Below are 22444 nucleotides of genomic sequence, written 5' to 3'. Positions count from 1 at the left end.
CGCCCCTAATCCCGCTCGAAGCAGCCCTGAGAAACATTGCCCATTCTCTCTTCATACCACCCCCCAAAGATTTTCGCAGCCCCAACACTTCAACACTATTTTATTTTTCTTATTAATATAAGAAAGCAGGAATGTCAGGCCTCTGAGCCCAAGACAAGCCAAGCCATCGCATCCCCTGTGACCTGCACGTATACACCCAGATGGCCTGAAGTAACTGAAGAATCACAAAAGAAGTGAATATGCCCTGCCCCACCTTAACTGATGACATTCCACCACAAAAGAAGTGTAAATGGCTGGTCCTTGCCTTAACTGATGACATTACCTTGTGAAAGTCCTTTTCCTAGCTCACCCTGGCTCAAAAACACCCCCACTGAGCACCTTGCTACCCCAACTCCTGCCCACCAGAGAACAAACCCCCTTTGACTGTAATTTTCCTTTACCTACCCAAATCCTATAAAACGGCCCCACCCTTATCTCCCTTCGCTGACTCTTTTCTGACTCAGCCCCACTGCACCCAGGTGATTAAAAGCTTTATTGCTCACACGAAGCCTGTTTGGTCGTCTCTTCACACGGATGTGCATGAAAATCAGTGTTGTTGAGTTTTTTTCATACGTTTGTTGGCCACATAAATGTCTTCTTTTGAAAAGTGTCTGTTCATATACTTTGCCCACTTTTTGATGGGGTTGTTTGTTTTTTTCTTGTAGATTTGTTTAAGTTCCTTGTAGATTTTGGATATTAGACCTTTGTCAGATGGGTAGATTGCAAAAATTTTCTCCCATTCTGTAGGTTGCCTGTTCACTCTGATGATAGTTTTTTATTGTTGTTGTGCAGAAGCTCTTTAGTTTAATTAGATCCCATTTGTCAATTTGGCTTTTGCTGCCATTGTTTTTGGTGTTTTAGTTATGAAGTCTTTGCCCATGCTTATGTCCTGAATGGTATTCCCTAGGTTTTCTTCTAGGGTTTTTATGGATTGGAGTTTTATGTTTAAGTCTTTAGTCCATCTTGAGTTAATTTTTGTATAAAGTGTAAGGAAGGGGTCTAGTTTCAGTTTTCTGCATATGGGCCAACTGTTCTTAACCTTTCTAGGACTCAGTTTCCTCATTGTAAAATGGAAGGAATGACCTCTCTTTGGCAAGCAGATTGTAAAATTAAAATAATATAATGCAAGTGAAAATGTCACATTCATGGGAGTCTAAAAAGTTGCAATTGTTTTAGCAGCCCTAGAAATGTAATTCACTCCTGCAGTTTAAAATGTGTTATTTGCATATTAATCTTAACTACTACCCACTGGCTCACAGCAGCTTGAATCTAAATAAAATAGCTTGGAGAAAGTCATTGCTTATTTTAAAGTAGTTATGACTTTTGTCAACATAAAACTGAGATATTTTGTAAAGTTAGTTAAGACAATGTTGCTCTTACTCAAAATTACCCAGTGGTAGCCCCTCTTTTTTCCAGGCAGCCTGAGTTTCTTCAGTGGCCCCTGAGGGCTGACATGGTCTGGTCCCTTGCTGGATCTCTGGTCCCATCCCGTTCGCTCACTCTGCTCCAGCTGCCCAGGCCCCCTCACTGCTCCTCACAGGCTTCCTCTCAGAGGCTCTGTGCTTGCATCTCCTAGGTCAGGAATTCTTCCCTGAGGTGGCCCCATGGCTTTCTCCCTCCACTGCTCACTGTGTTAAAATTCACACAGAGACAAACACACTCACACACATGCACACACTCCAGTCTCCATTCCTACCTCATTTTCTTTTCAGATCCCGTGTCCCCATTATGCACCCTTTACTAACAGGCTTCATTTGTTTGTTGAGTGTCTGTCTCCTTTTCTGAAATGGGTGAGGCAAGAGCAGGATGAGCACATTATTTATGAGATATTCTTGGAACCTTTGAAAGTCACATTAAACAACTGACTCTGCCAAACTGGGATGTGCTCACCCTGTCCATGAGGACTGAGATTTTTTATTATTATTTATTTATGCATAGACGGGGTCTCACCCTGCTACCCAGACTGGAGTGCAGTGGCAAAAACATAGCTCAGTGCAGCCTGGAGCCCCTGGGCTCAGGCAATCCTCCTGCCACAGGCGCAAGCACCACGCCTAGTTTGAGAGCGTGGCTGCATTCTCAGCGCTGTATCTCCAGGGTCTGCTTTACTGTAGAGTGCCTGGTAGGTGCTCAGTTCATATGATATTGGTTGTTGAATGAATGAATACATTCTGAAGCCTGACTCCAAGTCTACATCATGTCTTGCTTCTGGTTTGTTTCCCTGATACCTTTCTCTCTTCAATCCGTTCTTCTCATTGCTACCTAAGCAATAAGTGACTGTACTATCTAAAAAAAAGTGCCCCTATCATCTCAATACTTAAGCAGAAAGTCCAAACAACTTAGTGTGGCTTCCGGATCCTGCCACCATCTTGACTTCTCAAATATCCGTTTCAGGCTCATTTCTCAACCCTTGTTCCTAAGACCCTGAGCTTTCAGTCACTTCTTGAAGTTTCCTGAAGTAGTAAGAACTTTTATGGAGACACCTTTGTGCAGGATTCTGTCTTCCACCAAATATCACTTTTCCTCCCTTAATTTTGCAAATTCATATTCATCCCTCAGACCTGGTTCACAGGTCACCTTGTCAAGTCCTTGAAGTGCCTAAGTATTTTGTTTTGTCAGAGAGATTTTTTCTACATTTTCAAAGAACAACCACTAATTATTTCTTATATTTGTTGCAAGATAATTTATTTAAAAATGCCTTAGCCTTCCACATGTGTAAATTAAGTTTAATTCATATTCCAGAAATTACTTGTTTGCAATTGAAGTATGTTAACAAAGACTTCACACTCTAGATCTATCTATGGCAAGTAGGTCGGTTCTCATCTAAATACACAGCAGCTGGTTTGTTAATCAGCATAAAGAATGCTAGAAATAGTTCTCCTTTTTTCTTGATAAAATAAATAATGCTCTCTATATATAATTGTCTGGAAAAATTCCATGGACTCTGGCATTCCTGTGTGAGTGGAATCTGGAAACCTAGCAGGATCACACCTGTAATGTTGCATCCAAGTTCTTTGTAGCCATTGGGTCTCTTTGCCCTACTCTTAGGCAGGATTGCTCTGTCTAATCTAACTCAGAGGTTAGTGGATCCCACCATTAGAATGTAATTGTGCTTTTCCTACAATAATCTTTGGTGTGAAATGCTTGTCAGGGTGTTTATAGTAGAGCACAGGACATCAAGTTAAAAAATACACAGGTTGTGTGACTGTGTTGAGGCATTTATGCTTCTAAGTGTTTGAGTTTGTGGTAGACTTAGTCTGCAACTTGCCTTAGTCCGCAACTTGCCTTTATTATAACTTTTTACCTAATTTTAAAAGTTCCAACCAGCTTCTAGTTGCTGAAAACAGCAGATGTTTATAAAGGACCCCACAGATGCTGACCACATTGGCTTCCGTCAGTCTGACATGGTGTGATAATGATGTAATTATGTGCCAAGGTCAGCTCTGCCCATGAGGACTGTGAGCTCTCGGATGAGCCTTCTTCTTATCTGTACTCATGGAGCTGGACACATTGGTGGGTTGACTCAGCTGATGTTTGTTATGTGGATGAGCAGATGAAATACTAGACCTTTAACATTAGAGACAGCTAAAGGCAATGTAACCTAAAAGATGTAAGGACAATACAATTGGTGGAGTGATGGTTTAGCCACTCGTGTTGCCTGGGATTTAGGAATTTCCCCAGGATACAAGAAATTCAGTGAAAACACCAGGACAGGACCAGGCAAACATGGACCGCTGGTCACCCTGACAGGCCTTCTTTCCCTTACTTAAATAATTACTCATGTTGAAAAATTTTAAAGTATAAACAAGGTTGATAACATTTTGCACTCTTTCTCAATAAAAACCCCTAATTGTTTACATACAGAAGGAAAGTTTCTCAACATAATAAAGGCCATTTATGGGAAACCTACAGCTAGTATCATAATCAACAGGGAAGAACTGAACTCTTTTGCACGAAGATCTGGTATAAGAGAGGGCTGCCCACTCTCACCACATGCCTTCTACATAGTACTGGAAGCACTAGCAAAGGCAATTTAAAAGGGAAAAAGAAATAAAAGACATCTAAACTAAAAAGGAAGATGTTAATTCATCTCTGACTGCAGATGGCATGATTCTATGAGTAGAAAACCCCAAAGATTCCAGAAAAAACTATTAGAAGAAATACATGAATTCAGTAAAGTTGTAGAATACAAAATTAACACATAAATATCAGTAGTATTTCTTTTTTTTTTTTCTTCTAATTCATCTGTATTTGAAACAACTTTAAGCAGAATGTGACTCGGGCACTACATTTCCATCCACAAGACTGGCTCTGAGTTATTTTTGAACAGCTTTATGTTATGCTTAGGTAGACTTATAACTTTGCGCCTCCAAACAATACTTTTCTTTGGAAAACAAGCCCTATGGAGATTTCCTTCCATCCAGTTGCTTCAGTTTAACCTGTTTCTAGGGGACTAGTACATGTGGAATTGGCAACTACAGGGGATGAAAAGTTCAAAAAGTAGATCCTACAAGATGTAACAAATACTTTTCTTCTAAACATCAAGGTATAGCTCAGGAACACTTTGATAACAAGACTTGGTCTACTAAGGAATCGGGCTTGATAGCTAAACACTTTAGACCACAAAGTTAGCATCATGTTACATACATCTTACATCTGTCAAAATAAGCCAATGTGAAACTAAGAAAGCATTGCTAACTCTGCTTTAGTGCCTAAGGTATCATAGCATCACTTAGAAATAGACAGAAATCTTAACTTCCCCTTAAAGTAGTTGTTGTCATGCCATACAGACTATTTAATGTTACCGAAAATGAAGAAAAACATCCTTGAAAATATATTCTCAGAGGAACTGTAGAGTACCGAACAGGTAAGACATCCCTCAGCTGGAGGTTGGTCTACTTTTCCATGCGTGATGTGTCGTCATCTCCTTCGAGGGGTGGCATTTCTTCAGTTACAGCTGCACTGGTATCATCAGCAGTAGGGTCATCTTCATCAGTACCCAGACCAAGTTTGTTCATCCTGTAGATCCTGTTAGCATGTGTCTGGGGACCTTCCAGCCCGAAGTCAGAAGACAGGAGCGCAGTTTCATAAAGCAAGATGACCAGATCCTTCACAGACTTGTCATTCTTATCAGTCTCTGCCTTTTGCCTTAAGGTGTCAATAAAGGAATGGTCGGGGTTTATCTCCAGGTGTTTCTTTGCTGCCATGTAACCTGTTGTTGAGTTGTCTCTTAGGGCTTGAGCTTTCATGATTCTCTCCATGTTTGCTGTCCAGCCATATGTGCTTGAGACAATACAACATGGAGACGTCACCAATTGGTTTGACACAACCACCTTTTCAACTCTTCTCCAAAATGTCTTTCACGATTTTGCAGAGGTTCTCAAACTTTGGTTTTTTTTTTGTTTCGTTTTTTGTTTTCCCTCTTCCTGTTTCTTTTTCTCTTCTTCATCCTCTGGAAGTTCCAAGTCCTCTTTGGTGACTGACACTAAAGTCTTCCCCTCAAATTCCTTCAGCTGCTGGACACAGTACTCATCAATGGGCTCGATCGTATAGATCACTTCCAAGCCATGTTTCCAAAGACGTTGCACAATGGTTGAGTTAGCTACCTGGTCCTTGGTCTCACCTGTGATATAATAGATATGTTTCTGGTTTTCCTTCATTCTGGTGCAGTAGTCCTGGAGATAAACCATCTCATCACCAGAGGCATATGTGTAGTATCTTAGCAGCTCTGAAAGTTTCTTCTGATTTTGAGAGTCTCCGTGTATTCCAAGCTTTATGTTTTTAGAGAACGGCTCATAGAACTTCTAGTACCTCTCTTTACCTTCTACCAGTTCAGTAAAGAGTTCTAAGCATTTTTTGACCAAATTATTCCTGATAACTTTCAAAATTTTGCTTCATTGCAACATCTCACGGAAAATATTTAGAGGGAGATCCTCCGAGTCTACCACCCCTCTGATGAAGTTCAGATATTCAGGGATTAGCTCCTCACAGTTATCCATGATGAGATCTCTGCGTGCAGACAATTTGATTTTGTTCTTTTTCTTTCTGGTTTCCAACAGCTCAAAAGGAGCAAGTCGTGGGACAAATAGAAAGGCTCTGAATTCCAACTGTCCTTCAACTGAAAAATGCTTCACTGCCAAGTAATCTTCCCAGTTAATGGTCAAGCTTTTGTAGAATTCTCTGTATTCCTAATTAGTAAAGTCATCAGGGTATCTGGTACAGATAGGCTTTGTTTGTTGAGTTCTCCTTGATCGATGTACTTTTCCTTAATCTTCTTCTTCTTCTTCTTCTTCTTCTTCTTGTCACCATCCTTCTTTTATTCTTCTTCTTCGTCAGAACCAACATCTTCAATTTCAGGTTTGTCTTCGGACTCTTTCTCTTCTTTTTCCTTTTCTTCTTCTTTATCTTCCTTTTCTTCGGCCTCATCATTGCTGACTTCTTTATCATGTTTCTTCTCCACAAAAAGAGTGACGGGATATCCAATAAACAGAATGTTTCTTCACAATCTCATTTATTTTTCGTTCCTCCAAGTACTCAGTTTGGTCTTCTTTTAGCGGTAGGATAACCTTTGTTCCATGACCTATAGGTTCACCTGTGTCTGTCCTCACTGTGAATGATCCCCTTAATGAGGACTCCCAGGCATACTGTTCATCATTGTTATGTTTGGTGATCACTGTTACTTTCTCAGCAACTGAATAAGCAGAATAAAAACCAACACTGAACTGGCCAATCATAGAGATATCTGCACCAGCCTGCAAAACTTCCATGAACACTTTGGTCTCAGACTTGGTGATAGTTCCAAGGTTGTTGATCAAGTCAGCCTTGGTCATTCCAATTCCAGTATCCACAATAGTGAGTGTTCGATCTTGTTTGTTTGGTATAAGGCTAATATGCGGCTCTTTCCCAGAGTCTAATTTACTGGGATCCGTCAAGCTTTCCTACAGGATTTTGTCCAATGCATCTGATAAATTTGAAATGAGCTCTCTCAGAAAGATCTCTTTGTTCAAGTAGAAAGTATTGATGAACAATGACATCAACTGGGCAATTTCTGCCTGAAAGGTGAACGTCTCAACCTCCTACTCCTCCGTTGGTTGGTCTTGGGTCTGAGTCTCCTCGGGCATCTTGGCTAAGGGACCACACGGTCTCCGCAGTGCAGCGGCACCAGGACGCTGAAGCAACTCTAAATATCCACAGCACTTCTATACACAAATAACAACTTAGCTGAAAAAGAAATCAAGAAAACAATCCCATTTACGATAACATTAAAAACAAAATAGTTGGAATAAATTTAACCAAGGAGGTAAAGATCTGTAGGCTAAAAAATACAAAATATTAATAACATAGATTGAGGAAGACACAAATAAATGGAAAGCTATCTAATGTTTGTTTCTCAGAATAATTGATATTGTTAAAATGTTTATACTGCCCAAAGCAATGTGGATTAATGCAATCCTTATCAAAATCTCAATGGTATTCTTCACAGAAATAGCAAAAAAACCCTTAAAATTTGTACAGAACCACAAAAATCCCTGAACAGCCAAAGCAATACCGAGAAAGAAAGGCAGTTATCACACAACCCTATTTAAAATCATATTACAAAGTAATATTAACCAAAGCAATATGCTATTAGCATAAACACAGACACATAGGCCAATGAGACAGAATACAGAGCCCAGAAATAAATCCAAACATACATATTCAACTAATTTTTGACAAGAGCGCCAAGAGGACACAATTAGAGAAGAAGAGTCATTTCAAAATATGGTGCTGGAAGGCCGGGCACGGTGGGTGGCTGAAGCCTGTAATCCCAGCACTTTGGGAGGCCAAGGTGGGCGGATCACGAGGTCAGGAGTTCCAGACCAGCCTGGCCAACATAATGAAACCCCGTCTCTACTAAAAAAACACAAAAATTAGCCGGGCATGGTGGTGGGCACCGGTAGTCCCAGCTACTTGGGGGGCTGAGGCAGGAGAACTGCTTGAACCCAGGAGTCAGAAGTTATGGTGAGCTAAGATTGTGCCACCGCAAGCCAGCCTGGGTAACACAGCGAAACTCTGTCTCAAAAAAAAAATATGGTGTTGGAAAAACTGTATTTCCACATGCAAATGAATAAAACTGGATGCTTATCTTACTCCATTCACAAAAATCAACTCAAAATGAAAAAAAGACCTAAATGGAAGACCAGAAATTATAAAACTCCTAGAAGAAAACATAGGGGAAAGTGGCAATAATTTTTTGGACATCACACTTAAAGCCCAGGCTGCAAATCAAAAATAAGCAAATGGGGTTACATCAAACTAAAAATTTTCTGCACAGCAAAGGAAGCAATCAACAAACCAAGAGGCAAATGACAGAAGTGTAGAAGATATTTGCAAACTGCATATTTGATAATGTGTTAATATCCTAAATTTAAAAAATAACTCTTACAACCCAATAGCAGAAAAACAAATAACATTATAAGAAAACCTAGGCATTACCATTCAGGACATAGGCATGGGCAAGGACTTCATCTCTAAAACACGAAAAGCAATGCCAACAAAAGCCAAAATTGACAAATGGGATCTAATTAAACTAAAGAGCTTCTGCACAGCAAAAGAAACTACCATCAGAGTGAACAGGCAACCTACAAAATGGGAGAAAATTTTTGCAACCTATTCATCTGACAAAGGGCTAATATCCATAATCTACAATGAACTCAAACAAATTTACAAGAAAAAAACAACCCCATCAAAAAGTGGGTGAAGGACATGAACAGACACTTCTCAAAAGAAGACATTTATGCAGCCAAAAAACACATGAAAAAATGCTCACCATCACTGGCCATCAGAGAAATGCAAATCAAAACCACCATGAGATATCATCTCACACCAGTTAGAATGGCAATCATTAAAAAGTCAGGAAAAACAGGTGCTGGAGAGGATGTGGAGAAAGAGGAACACTTTTACACTGTTGGTGGGACTGTAAACTAGTTCAACCATTGTGGAAGTCAGTGTGGCAATTCCTCAGGGATCCAGAACTAGAAATACCATTTGACCCAGCCATCCCATTACTGGGTATATACCCAAAGGACTATAAATCATGCTGCTATAAAGACACATGCACATGTATGTTTATTGCGGCACTATTCACAATAGCAAAGACTTGGAACCAACCCAAATGTCCAACAATGATAGACTGGATTAAGAAAATGTGGCACATATACACCATGGAATACTATGCAGCCATAAAAAATGATGAGTTCATGTCCTTTGTAGGGACATGGATGAAATTGGAAATCATCATTCTTGGTAAACTATCGCAAGAACAAAAAACCAAACACCACATATTCTCACTCATAGATGGGAATTGAACAATGGGAATACATAGACACAGGAGGGGGAACATCACACTCTGGGGACTGTTGTGGGGTGGGGGGAGGGGGGAGGGATAGCATTGGGAGATATACCTAATGCTAGATGATGAGTTAGTGGGTGCAGCACACCAGCATGTCACATGTATACATATGTAACTAACCTGCACATTGTGCACATGTACCCTAAAACTTAAAGTATAATAATAAAAAAAAAGAAAATTAAAAATAAATAAATTAATAAATAAAAATTGGGCAAAAAATGAGACAGTTCTCCAAAGACATAAAATTAGTCAACAGGCATATGTAAACATGCTCAATATCATTAATTATCAGTAAAATGCATATTAAAACCACAATGAGATACTACCTCATACCCGTAAGCATGGTTGTTATCAAAAAGCAAGAGCTAACGTGTGCTGGCAAGAGTGCAGAGAAAAGGGAAGCCTGGCACACTTTTGGCGGGAAAGTAGATTGGTGCAGCTGTTATGGAAAACAGTATGGAGGTTACCATATGACCCAGCAATCCCTCTTCTGAGTCTCTAGGCAAAGGAGATGAACTCACCCTCCTGTAAAGACACCTGCACTTCCATCTTCATTGCAGCATCATTTGCAACTGTCAAGATACGGAAACAACCTAAGTGTGTGTTAATGGACCAATGGGTAAAGAAAATGTGGCACGTATGTAAAATGGAATAACATTTGGCCTGAAAAAAAGGAGATCGTGCCATTTCCCACAACATGGATGGAACTGGAGGACATCCTGCTAAGTGAAATAAGCCAGACACAGAAGGAAAATACTGTGTGGTCTCAGTTATATGTGGAATCTATGAAACGATAAATCGGAAAGCTCAAATATGCAGGGAGAGAGAATAAAACCGTGGTTACCAGCGTGAGAAGTTGAAGAGAAAGGAAATGGGGAGATGTAGGTCTAAGGACAGAAAGTGGAAACACAGAGGATGAACAGATGTGTCGGATGAATGAGGGTAGAGTTTTAGTGGACAACGTAAGGATTACAGTTAATACAATTGCATGATATTTGTAGATTTTAGCTGCTTTTGTTACACACAAAAAAGTAACTGTGAGATGGTAGATACGTTCATTTGCTTCACCATAGTAACCATTTTACTATCTATATGTATCATATAATATCATGTCTCAAACCTCAAATATATACAATACAATTTGTTAAAAACAAGACAAAATATAAACAAGGTAAAAGAAACGTGGCTATTGATTGGTATATGCAACTTCTTTCAAAAAATATTGGAAGATAAATAGCAACAAATGTTCTGAATGCTACAAAACATTGCTTTAATTTACAGCACCACAAATGCCCTAAATTAAGAAGATGCCTTTATCTTTTATTCCTCTTGCATTAGAAGATGTTACAGATGGTAGTAATAATAAGACTGTCTTGCTCTTCTAAAGCTCTTTATAGTTTTTAAGGCACTTTCAGAAATTGTGATTTCTTCTTCACAATAAGCCTTTAAGGTAGGTGTTGCAGACAGTACATGGTAATTACGGTGCAGACTTATCTACGAACTCGGACATAACAGGAAGTGCAATTGCTGTGAGAGAGTAAAACCAAATCGCTGAGTTATAAAAAGACACAATGTCTCCTAGGCCCAAAGTATCAGCTTCCTAACTACAGATTAACCATTGATAATGATATATGTGTTAGGAAACAAAGAAACAAAACCCAGAATTTCAACTGACAGTGGCCTAAACGATAAAGCCATTTTTTTTTTTTTTTTTTTTGAGACGGAGTTTCGCTCCGTCGCCCAGGCTGGAGTGCAGTGGTGTGATCTCGACTCACTGCAAGCTCCGCCTCCCGGGTTCACGCCATTCTCCTGCCTCAGCCTCCCGAGTAGCTGGGACTACAGGCGCGCGCCACCACGCCCGGCTAATTTTTGCATTTTTAGTAGAGACGGGGTTTCACCGTGTTAGCCAGGATGGTCTCGATCTCCTGACCTCGTGATCCGCCCGTCTCGGCCTCCCAAAGTGCTGGGATTACAGGCGTGAGCCCCCGCGCCCGGCCGCGATAAAGCCATTTAATGGTCTCTCAGGGCAAGCTGTTCAGACCGTCCAGGGCTAAGGCTCAGCAATGCCACCAAAACCCAGGCTCCTTCTCGATTTCTACTGCGTCATCTTAAGTGTGTTGGCTTGATTTTTTGCACCCTAAAATGATGGCACTGCTCCAAGCCCAGTCTCATGTCTCCAGTAAAGGCACGAAGAAGGGAGAAGGAGTGGCCCCAGCTGTCCCTTCTGTCAGGAATGCAGAAGTTTCCCTTTAACGGCCCAGCAGTCTTCAGTTGGTCTACTATTGACCAGAACTACCAAAAAGCCATCCCAGCTTCAAGAGGCACTAGAGAAGAGGCACTAGAAAGCAGGCATTAGCTTTCTACTGGGAGGAGACAAGGAAGAATGAGATTGGCATTGGGCATTGTCTCAGCCAGCCGAGAGTGTCTGTGGCAGCTTGTAAGGAGAATGCCGACAACCAGAGCACACAGCTCTGAGAAGGCCACACCCCATGATGTGTGCTCCGCTGTGGGCAGTGAGGGGCTGGAGGATGGGGCATTCTGCTCAGAGTGAGAATCTGGCTGGGGGATCTGGTAAACCGTCACCCAGGAATACCCACTTCTCTTCGCTCTCATTCCACACACACCAAAAAGCCTTTTTGGTTGAAGTTCAAGCTTCTCAGGAAACATGAGACAGTGAAGTAGATGTCTATGTGAGAACAAGCTAAAATTTTGAAAATAAATCAATCATCAGCTTAGCTTATCTATCCTGTGAATTTAGTTTTGAGAAGTCCAATTTTTTTACTCTGATTTTTAAAAATCATATTTGTCTGCTGCCATTGTCTGATTTCTGGACTTGCAAAACTGAGGACCAAATCATGAACCATGTTATATTTGCCAAGAAAATGAGCTTCCTCAAATTACATGGGTTAGGGTATACATGAATCCATTCCACATTTGAGTTATATCAAGCATGTCTTTTACTAGCTGGCCTGTCTCTTCCAAATTTTAACAGAAATAATTGTTCCATTTTGCCAATGAGAAAATGGGTTCAAAAAAGCTTAAATCTTGTTTCATACATTCAGTGAGGTACACAGGGCATAAACACAGGTCCTCATGTCTCCAGGAAAATACCCACCTTAAAATTCCAAGAGAACTCTTTGGGGTATCCATTTTCCCTCTGCACCTGCTTTCTCTTTAGCTCTGACAGGAGCTGAAGTATCCTTTAGCCTCCAAGTATAATGAGTGTGGAAGGACTAGAGTGTACAGCAATGGGAGGGGATCCGTGCAAACAGCGACATTGCAATATGGAGTAAGATGACCTGTGCAACTTAAAAACCATCCCAGGGAGGCGATGGCAACCCCACAGCATGGAGGGAACAAGCAGAGAACCCACAGTCATCGTATTTGAACCAAAGATGGGACCTCCCGGCTGCTTAGCTCCAACCCCAGGCTGCATAGCTCCACCCCCAGGCTGCTAAGCTCCACCCCCAGGCTGCTTAGCTTCACCTCCAGGATGCTTAGCTCCACCCCCAGGATGCTTAGCTCCACCTCCAGGATGCTTAGCTCCACCCCCAGGCTGCTTAGCTCCACCTCCAGGATGCTTAGCTTCACCCCCAGGATGCTTAGCTCCACCTCCAGGATGCTTAGCTCCACCCCCAGGATGCTTAGCTCCACCTCCAGGATGCTTAGCTTCACCCCCAGGATGCTTAGCTCCACCTCCAGGATGCTTAGCTCCACCTCCAGGCTGCTTAGCTCCACCCCCAGGATGCTTAGCTCCACCTCCAGGATGCTTAGCTCCACCCCCAGGATGCTTAGCTCCACCTCCAGGATGCTTAGCTCCACCCCCAGGCTGCTTACCTCCACCCCCAGGCTGCTTACCTCCACCCCCAGGCTGCTTACCTCCACCTCCAGGCTGCTTAGCTCCACCCCCAGGATGCTTAGCTCCACCCCCAGGATGCTTAGCTCCACCTCCAGGATGCTTAGCTCCACCCCCAGGCTGCTTAGCTCCACCTCCAGGATGCTTACCTTCACCCCCAGGATGCTTAGCTCCACCCCCAGGATGCTTAGCTCCACCCCCAGGATGCTTAGCTTCACCCCCAGGATGCTTAGCTCCACCTCCAGGCTGCTTAGCTCCACCTCCAGGCTGCTTAGCTCCACCCCCAGGCTGCTTAGCTCCACCCCCAGGCTGCTTACCTCCACCTCCAGGCTGCTTAGCTCCACCCCCAGGCTGCTTAGCTTCACCCCCAGGATGCTTAGCTCCACCTCAAGGATGCTTAGCTCCACCTCCAGGCTGCTTAGCTCCACCTCCAGGATGCTTAGCTTCACCCCCAGGATGCTTAGCTCCACCCCCAGGATGCTTAGCTCCACCTCCAGGCTGCTTAGCTCCACCCCCAGGATACTTAGCTCCATCTCCAGGTTGCTTAGCTTCACCCCCAGGATGCTTAGCTCCACCTCCAGGATGCTTAGCTCCACCCCCAGGCTGCTTAGCTTCACCTCCAGGATGCTTAGCTCCACCCCCAGGATGCTTAGCTCCACCTCCAGGCTGCTTAGGTCCACCCCCAGGCTGCTTAGCTCCACCCCCAGGCTGCTTAGCTCCACGTCCAGGATGCTTAGCTCCACCCCCAGGCTGCTTAGCTCCACCTCCAGGCTGCTTAGCTCCACCTCCAGGATGCTTAGCTTCACCTCCAGGATGCTCAGCTTCACCCCCAGGCTGCTTAGCTCCACCTCCAGGCTGCTTAGCTCCACCTCCAGGATGCTTAGCTCCACCCCCAGGATGCTTAGCTCCACCTCCAGGCTGCTTAGCTCCACCTCCAGGATGCTTAGCTTCACCCCCAGGATGCTTAGCTTCACCCCCAGGATGCTTAGCTCCACCTCCAGGCTGCTTAGCTCCACCCCCAGGCTGCTTAGCTCCACCCCCAGGCTGCTTAGCTCCACCTCCAGGCTGCTTAGCTCCACCCCCAGGATGCTTAGCTTCACCCCCAGGATGCTTAGCTTCACCCCCAGGCTGCTTAGCTCCACCTCCAGGCTGCTTAGCTCCACCTCCAGGCTGCTTAGCTCCACCTCCAGGATGCTTAGCTTCACCCCCAGGATGCTTAGCTCCACCCCCAGGATGCTTAGCTCCACCCCCAGGATGCCTAGCTTCACCCCCAGGCTGCTTAGCTCCACCTCCAGGATGCTTAGCTCCACCCCCAGGATGCTTAGCTCCACCTCCAGGCTGCTTAGCTCCACCTCCAGGCTGCTTAGCTCCACCCCCAGGATGCTTAGCTTCACCCCCAGGATGCTTAGCTCCACCTCCAGGATGCTTAGCTCCACCTCCAGGATGCTTAGCTCCACCTCCAGGCTGCTTAGCTCCACCCCCAGGCTGCTTAGCTCCACCCCCAGGATGCTTAGCTCCACCCCAGGGATGCTTAGATTCTTGGTCCCTTAGGGTTTTATGTATGGAGGTGTCTGTGTCATCAACATAATAGTATTCTAAAATGACCAGTAATACACATAAATATATGCAGTGTTGCATTTCATATTTTGTTATATTGTATTATAGAATTAAAATTCTATACTGTCAGTTTACTACCTCAAGTGTTATCATGGAGGCTATTTAGGTGTCGATACACATTTCAGGATACTGAATTTCTAAGGCTGTTACTAGAGCCCAAAGAGGAGTATTTTCACAAATCAGAAAGGTGCTAAAGTTTTAGTTCTGAATATTTGTCTCAGCAATAATAATGCAATTTTTCATATCCAAAGGCATCTGTTGGAGCAAGTCTTGATCATTAGAGTCAGATTCAGCCCTGCAATACCTGTGCACAGAGAAAATCACATTTCTACAAGTCAGTCATTTAGTTCACAAATAGTTATTAAGCATCTACTATGTGCCAGGCATGATTCTGGTCACTACGGACCCCAGGGTGAAGATGGGAGACCAGACTACTCCTTTTGTGGAGCTTTTGTATGGTGGAGATGATAAACAAATCAGTAGATAAACAGAAATTCAGGCAGTAATACGTGCTAAGGAAGATGACAGCGCAGGCATGAGGGAGAGATTCTTCAGCAGTGGACCCTATGGAGAACTTTCAGAGGAAGCAACACGAAAGCTGAGACTGGCAAGAGTCAGTCACGCAAAAAACCTGTGGGAAGACACTCCTGGAAGCTGTAGTTACAACCTTGCAGCTATGGAAATCTGTCAGTCAGTGTTTGTAACACGGTTTGCATCACAATAATTTTTTTTAAAAAAAACAAGGAAACAAAATACTTGTTTATGTGCTGGGCTCCACTGTGTCACTCTGTGGTACCAGCAGGGCACAGGCCTCTGGGGTAGGGCTTACGATTTTATGCAGGAGGAGTGTTGCCTCTCGGAGAAATAATCCCTCACTCACACATAGCACTGGAGAGTTTATAAAGACCTTTTACATTCATAATTATGTTGTTCGGTGGAGATCAATTTTAGCAATAGCCCTAAGATAATTAAATTACAAATGAAAGAAAGTCCAGCTCAAATAAATAGAAATTTATGTAATTACCCAAGAATCTGGGAGTTTCTAATTTCAGGCAGAAGTGAATTCAGAGGCTAAATAATAGCTACATAGTCTCTCTGTCTGTGTATTTCTTTCCTTGGTTTTCTCTTCACTGCTTTACTCTCGATTATGCTCTCCCTGTGTGGCAACAAGTGTGATCTCCAGTACTCCAGGCCGGCAACCCCCGCCTCTGCACACACCTCTGTTAGGGACAGTCAGAAGCACCATTTTCTGAGAGCTGCAGCGCACCTGCACGGTGAGGCCCTCATGGGTCGGGCCTGGGTCACGTGTCCGTCGCCACTCCTGTGGCCAGGGGACATGTGGAACTCCCGTTGGCCAGGACTGGAGCCCAGACCACAGGGACTAAAAGTGAGATGCTTGATCCTCAGAAGGAAAGGAAGGGATGCCGGGCAGGCAATGGAATGATATCCACCAGGAAACGACACTCACTTTCTCCACATGTGAGGTTGAAAGGCTGGCTCAACCTTACACAGAAAACCTGGATTTCAAATCTTAAAAAACAGAGTTCTTCCTACTCCCGTGGAATTACTGCTTCTATATAAAACCCAGTATGAAGCCCCAAGATAATTCAGTTAAAGAGAGTGGAGGAAGCACCTGATGAGTCGTGTTTTAAATGAGCACATGCTTCACCAAGCTGCGTGGCTTTGGTGGAGTCAGTAGCCCTGTCCTTTCCTACAGGCTTGTAAAGACACACCAGCCACTGGTTTCACACAGCCTTTGTTTTGTCTCATAAGCTTGGGTAGAGTTTTCCCTGACCTGTGGAGGGTGGCATTGTGTTTGTGAGCGTGGGTAAAGTCGAGTGAGGAGGTGAAGGTCAGGACACCCTATGCCGAGTGAAAGGCTGGGGTGTGATGGGGTGAAAAGAGCTGGGTTTTATTTCTCTTGATGAATGCACACATACTGGAGTCTTCAGCTTTCCTTACTTTTAAACAAGGACAAGTTCACCTGCCAGATCTTGATGGGAGTCTCGAGGTAACTTTAGGACAATGGGCAGGAGGAAGCAGCACCAAATGTTTCCTGAAAGTGGCCAGCAGAGCCAGGCGTGGTGGCTGACGCCTGTAATCCCAGCACTTTGGGAGGCTGAAGGGGGCAGATCACCTGAGGTAGAGAGTTCGAAACCAGCCAGACCAACAAGGAGAAACCCCATCTCTACTAAAAATACAAAATTAGCCGGGCGTGGTGGTGCATGCCTGTAATCCCAGCTACTCAGGAGGCTGAGGCAGGAGAATGGCAGGATCCCGAGAGGTGGAGGTTGTGGTGAGCTGAGATAGCACCACTGCACTTCAGCCTGGGTGACAGAGCGAGACTCCATCTCAAAAAAAAAAACAAAAGAAAAAAGACAGTGGCGGGCATGCACATTACCCCCTAGGAAATGATTCCATGTGGTACAGACACAGCCGTCTACAGGCTGAAAGATCAGCGTTGCCTACAGCAGTTAAATACAGTAATTCATGTGTGCAGGAGAATTGGAGCCAATGTATGATCATTTGATAACTTTAACTTTCTTTCTATTTATTAAATATGTTATATTTTTAGGACTATAGAAAACAAAAACAAAAAGTCAACTCCAAAGAATTTTGGAATTTGGAATTTGTTTCTACCATCCACAGGTTAGTGCAGCTATTTGCATCCCTCTTTGTTAAGAGTGTTAATCTTGAGTTGCAAGGGCTCGGCAGCCAACCCCAGAGTCCTCTCCACATTCCTCCGTGGAGGCTCCAAGGGCAGGTGGAATGGACACAAGCAGCCAGCCCTCCTAAACCACGGCTTCTGTGGAGGAGCTGCTTCTAGCGCCTCAGGCGTGCCCTCATTCAGGAGGAAGACTTTCATGGATTTGAGGGTACCTCTTCTAGACTCCGGGGCACTGTGCCACACAACTTGTTGTGCTTTGAGCAAGGTAGATGAAAACACATCTTTTCTCCAGAAAACAAGATTAAGAACATATTTAGGCTTGCACAAAATACAGCTCACTGCCCAAAGCCTTGCTGGATCCTGAAAAATATTTTACTAACTTGTACATCTATTCGAGGAGACTCCTCTGCACCTAAACTTTTTCTTCCTGTCTCACACTTTGTGTGGCAAATGCTCCTCTCTCGTTTGCTGACCTTCAGAATCATTCTAAGGCAGCACGTGTTGATGTGAAAACTGGCAGCGAACCCAGGCCTGTGCCCTGCCAGCCCTCTGGCCCCTGAACCGCTGGCTTCACTCCAAGGACCCGCATATTTCTTTTTGGCCTTGCAGGGTCACCAGGCAAAGACCTTGCATTCTGAATGGACAGAAATGCCCAGATCTAGCATTTTCCACCTCATCTACAGAATACTGTTCCTTGTCTGTTTGCTCATGGCTGCCTTCTATTTTTCTGATCACTTACTGGACTGTGCCCTTTCCGCTCCAGGTAGCTGGATTCCGACTCCAGCACTCAGCTATCCCCTTCCCTGAATTCATCTGTTAACCTAGATGCTGAACACAAGCGACTTTTCCAACTTCATTCAAAGAACTTCTTGTGAGAAAACCGGGCTGTCAAGAGAGTCTCCCTTCACCCTTACCACTCATTGTTCCCCACAATCACCACAGAGAAGTATAAATTAACAGGAATCTGGAGAATCCAGGGCCCATTTTTACCATCTCAGTGTTTGTAATCCTCCTACAACCCAGGCACCCATGGGCAAGCCTTCTGTGTGTTCATCCATCTACGCACGTACACGGGTGAACTGGAAAGCTCCAATACCTTGGAGAAGGTTGTTCCTGCGGTCAGATCTTCAGAACCGAAGCTGCTGGAGATGCTCCCTGGTATTCAGCTTCTTGACAATAAATCTTATTATCTCTTTCTTCTTTCTTGCCTTGTTTCTTCCACCTTTCTATCCTTCCTTGCTTCCTTCCTGTCTTCCTTCCCTTCTTCTCCTTCCTTCCTCTCTTTCTTCCTTGCTTCCTTCCTGTCTTCCTTCCCTTCTTCTCCTTCCTTCCTCTCTTCCTTCCTTGCTTCCTTCCTGTCTTCCTTCCCTTCTTCTCCTTCCTTCCTCTCTTCCTTCCTTGCTTCCTTCCTGTCTTCCTTCCCTTCTTCTCCTTCCTTCCTCTCTTCCTTCCTTGCTTCCTTCCTGTCTTCCTTCCCTTCTTCTCCTTCCTTCCTCTCTTCCTTCCTTGCTTCCTTCCTGTCTTCCTTCCCTTCTTCTCCTTCCTTCCTCTCTTTCTTCCTTGCTTCCTTCCTGTCTTCCTTCCCTTCTTCTCCTTCCTTCCTCTCTTCCTTCCTTGCTTCCTTCCTGTCTTCCTTCCCTTCTTCTCCTTCCTTCCTCTCTTTCTTCCTTGCTTCCTTCCTGTCTTCCTTCCCTTCTTCTCCTTCCTTCCTCTCTTCCTTCCTTGCTTCCTTCCTGTCTTCCTTCCCTTCTTCTCCTTCCTTCCTCTCTTCCTTCCTTGCTTCCTTCCTGTCTTCCTTCCCTTCTTCTCCTTCCTTCCTCTCTTCCTTCCTTGCTTCCTTCCTGTCTTCCTTCCCTTCTTCCCATTCCTTCCTTCCTTTTTTTCTTCTTTCCTTCCTTCCTTCCTTTTTTCTTCTTTCCCTCCTTCTTTCCTTCTATTTTCTTCTTTCCTTCTCCTTCCTCCCTACTTCTTTCATTCATTTCTTTTTCCTTTATTTTTCCTCCTTTACTTCTTTCTTTCTTCTATGTATCTATCTCTATTTCATCTATCTTATCTATCTATCTATGTATCCATCTATGCCTCATCTATCTATCTATCAATATCTAAACTATCTATCACTAGTGTCATATCTGAATTTGGGGGAGTTATGCTTTTAATATCTAATTGATAGTTCAGAGTTCCTGCTGGTGATGTGAGACAAAATAATGACATTTGGCCTTCTTTTTAGGGCAGCCTATAGGACATCATTATGGTTTCTTAGCTTCTTAGGCTGAAATCTTTTTTTATTATGGATTTTTCATCATTGGTCATGGTTTTCTTTAAATTGTTACAGAATTCTACATAAAAATCAAAGCCCCCAAATGCCTACTTAGTTTAATATGCTTGAAGAGAGCTTTTCAGATCATAATAGGTTCATGAGATTTATCAAGTGATAAAAAATCAGGCTGGTCAATTAGATTTGAAAGGAATAAAATGCATTGAGATGTGTAGTCATTGAAATGTGTTCTTGTCAATGATGATTACATGTTAGATCGGCTTTAATATTTATGTCATTATAATAATTTATATTGTCAAGGTGAAACATAAAAAGGCTCAATAGGCATGGGCATTAAATATTACGTATTTTACAGTTGCTCAAGTAAAGAAATTACATGATTGGCCCTGACTCACTTGCATCGATAAGAATGTACATTTTAAAATGGGCACAGGTATAATTTCCACTCCAGGTAGTAACGATGCTCCAGGTTGCTGGGTGGCTCTATTCTTAGATTCTCATTACCAGACATTCTGAAACTGCTGAGATTTCCCAAAATCACAGTTCAGACAAGAAGTTAACACGCCAAACAAGGAAAAGCTCATGGACATTTGATTCACAGAGAGCAGGTGGAGAACCTGTCCGTGCTTACATGTGAATGTTTAAAATCCTCGGGTTGAATTCAAGCCGGCGTCTGGGCTCAGCGGTGGCCTCCAGCATCCTGACTCGCTGGAAGGAGCATGCACCTGACTTCTTGGTGTTCGATTTTCACCTCCTTATTCTCCACTCTCTAGCCTTGCTGCCAGAGCTATGTCTTACACACTGGAGCCGGGTTTCCACTGACATTAGGAAAGGTCCTCTGGATTCTCACAGGACTGATGAAATCTGACCAGCATTTCTCATGCTGATGGCTCTTTCCTTTAGGTGTGTGGCATTTCTCACCCCCAGGGAAGAAGTCTTTGAGGAAAAGGGTTTGTGGTGAGCCTGGGCTATCAGGTAATCCGGCTTTCTAATCCCCACACTGAGCTGGATTCCACACAACCTGCAGAGGTGGGTTAAGCTGACAGCACTCCAATCATTTGAAACTTAACTTGGGTTATGCCTACAGAAATCCTTTGTCCTGTGCGCCTAATTGATACCTGTCAAGAGGCTGAGGCAAGATTTGCCCCTCAACATAAGGAATTATTTAGACATAAATCTGTATTTTAACTTCTAGTACAATGTCCCATTGAGGAAAATATGGAAGCTGAGCCCTGCCCCAAGCAAATTATCTGCTTTATCGTTATAATTATCATGAATAAAGCATTTTTTTCTTTTAATTTGTGGGAGGGGTTTAATTTATATATATAGCAATTTTAATCATATTTATATTAATACAATTTTTGTTTCTTTATATTTCCATAAAAATAGCTAGCATTTATTGAATACTTTCTATTTCTAGGATTTGTCTTAGGATACCTATATCTTTATCTATATCTATTTCTCTTCACACACATGTACATACAAGTATATGTAGATACACATATCTTAACAGCATAGATGGAGCATATATGTATATACACATATATAAAAATATAATCCCAAATCCCCTGGTAGTTTATTATGTTCATTTTACACATCAGGAAACTGAGCCACAGAGATGGTAGAAAATATTCCCCAATCATAATAGGTTGATTCCCCAGATCATAACAGGTTCATGAGATTTATCAAGTAATTAAAAAAGGTCACTCAGTAAGTGAAGGAGCTGGGACTTAAGCCCAGCTCGCCTATTGACAATCTGCAGGATCATAAAGAAAGTAGCCATAGCTACTGAATAATAACAGAAAACATTTATATGGAAATCGGCCTGTAATTGACACTACCTAAAGCACGTGCCTTATATAAATTCATTTAATTCTCAAAGCAAACTTAGAAGATAGGTATTATTATTATTGTTATTCTCATTTTACTGATGAGGGAACAGAAAGGGTGAGTAGGTTTCCCAAGGTCACACAGTGGGTGAGGAGAGGATCCTGGGTTTGAACACTGCAGTCCAGCTTCAGAATCTGACACTGTACTGTCTTATTATAAATACTAAAACTGAGGTAGTATTAATATCTCATTTATTCAAATGATAACAGTTAAGTGTATTGATCAACTACAATGGTCCAGGCTCTGAGTTAGGTTTTTAGCAAACTTTATCTGCCTTAATTATTTTAAAAACTCCCCAAAGTAGATATCTGGAGTCTTTTTTTTTTTTTTAATATACGAGAAGGAAGAGATTAGGGACAGTAAATAACATTCCCAATGTCACAAAGCTAATAGATGAAGAAATGGAATTCAATTCTGTGCTATCTGTTTCTAAGACTTACACTATTTTCTCCACATAACATTGCCTTTTGAGCTTCTCCTCACAGTCTTTTTCAGTAATAGTGATCATGGATTTTTTTACAAAGAATAATGCATTGGGAATATTAAAAACTCACAAAATATTGATAGTTTGTTAATCTAAAAACCAGCAAAACTAAACTAACATTTCCTCAAGAAGGAAATGTATAAAGCAGTAAAATTTAACTCCAGTGAAAGATATCAGTGAAAATAAAGTCAACTGAAAAACTAATTTATCAATGAATCAACAAGAAA

The 22444-nt window shown here is 42.8% G+C and overlaps 1 pseudogene, besides 1 other annotated feature; it reads right to left on the bottom strand.

The window, feature by feature from the left end:
• Positions 20-578: an enhancer, noted in NCBI's record as "OCT4-NANOG hESC enhancer chr4:190400698-190401256 (GRCh37/hg19 assembly coordinates)". NCBI's record gives its function as "activates a minimal SCP1, AML or CMV promoter by ChIP-STARR-seq in naive H9 embryonic stem cells {active_cell/tissue: H9 hESC(naive)}" and the evidence as "EXISTENCE:reporter gene assay evidence [ECO:0000049][PMID:30033119]".
• HSP90AA4P (heat shock protein 90 alpha family class A member 4, pseudogene) lies at positions 4269-7216 on the bottom strand (annotated as a pseudogene).

The sequence above is a fragment of the Homo sapiens genome, chromosome 4 (genome assembly GCF_000001405.40).
Source record: "Homo sapiens chromosome 4, GRCh38.p14 Primary Assembly".
Taxonomy (NCBI): Eukaryota; Metazoa; Chordata; class Mammalia; order Primates; family Hominidae; genus Homo; species Homo sapiens.
The sequence above is the reverse complement of the archived record's forward strand: the minus strand, read 5'-3'. Positions and strand labels throughout refer to the sequence as shown.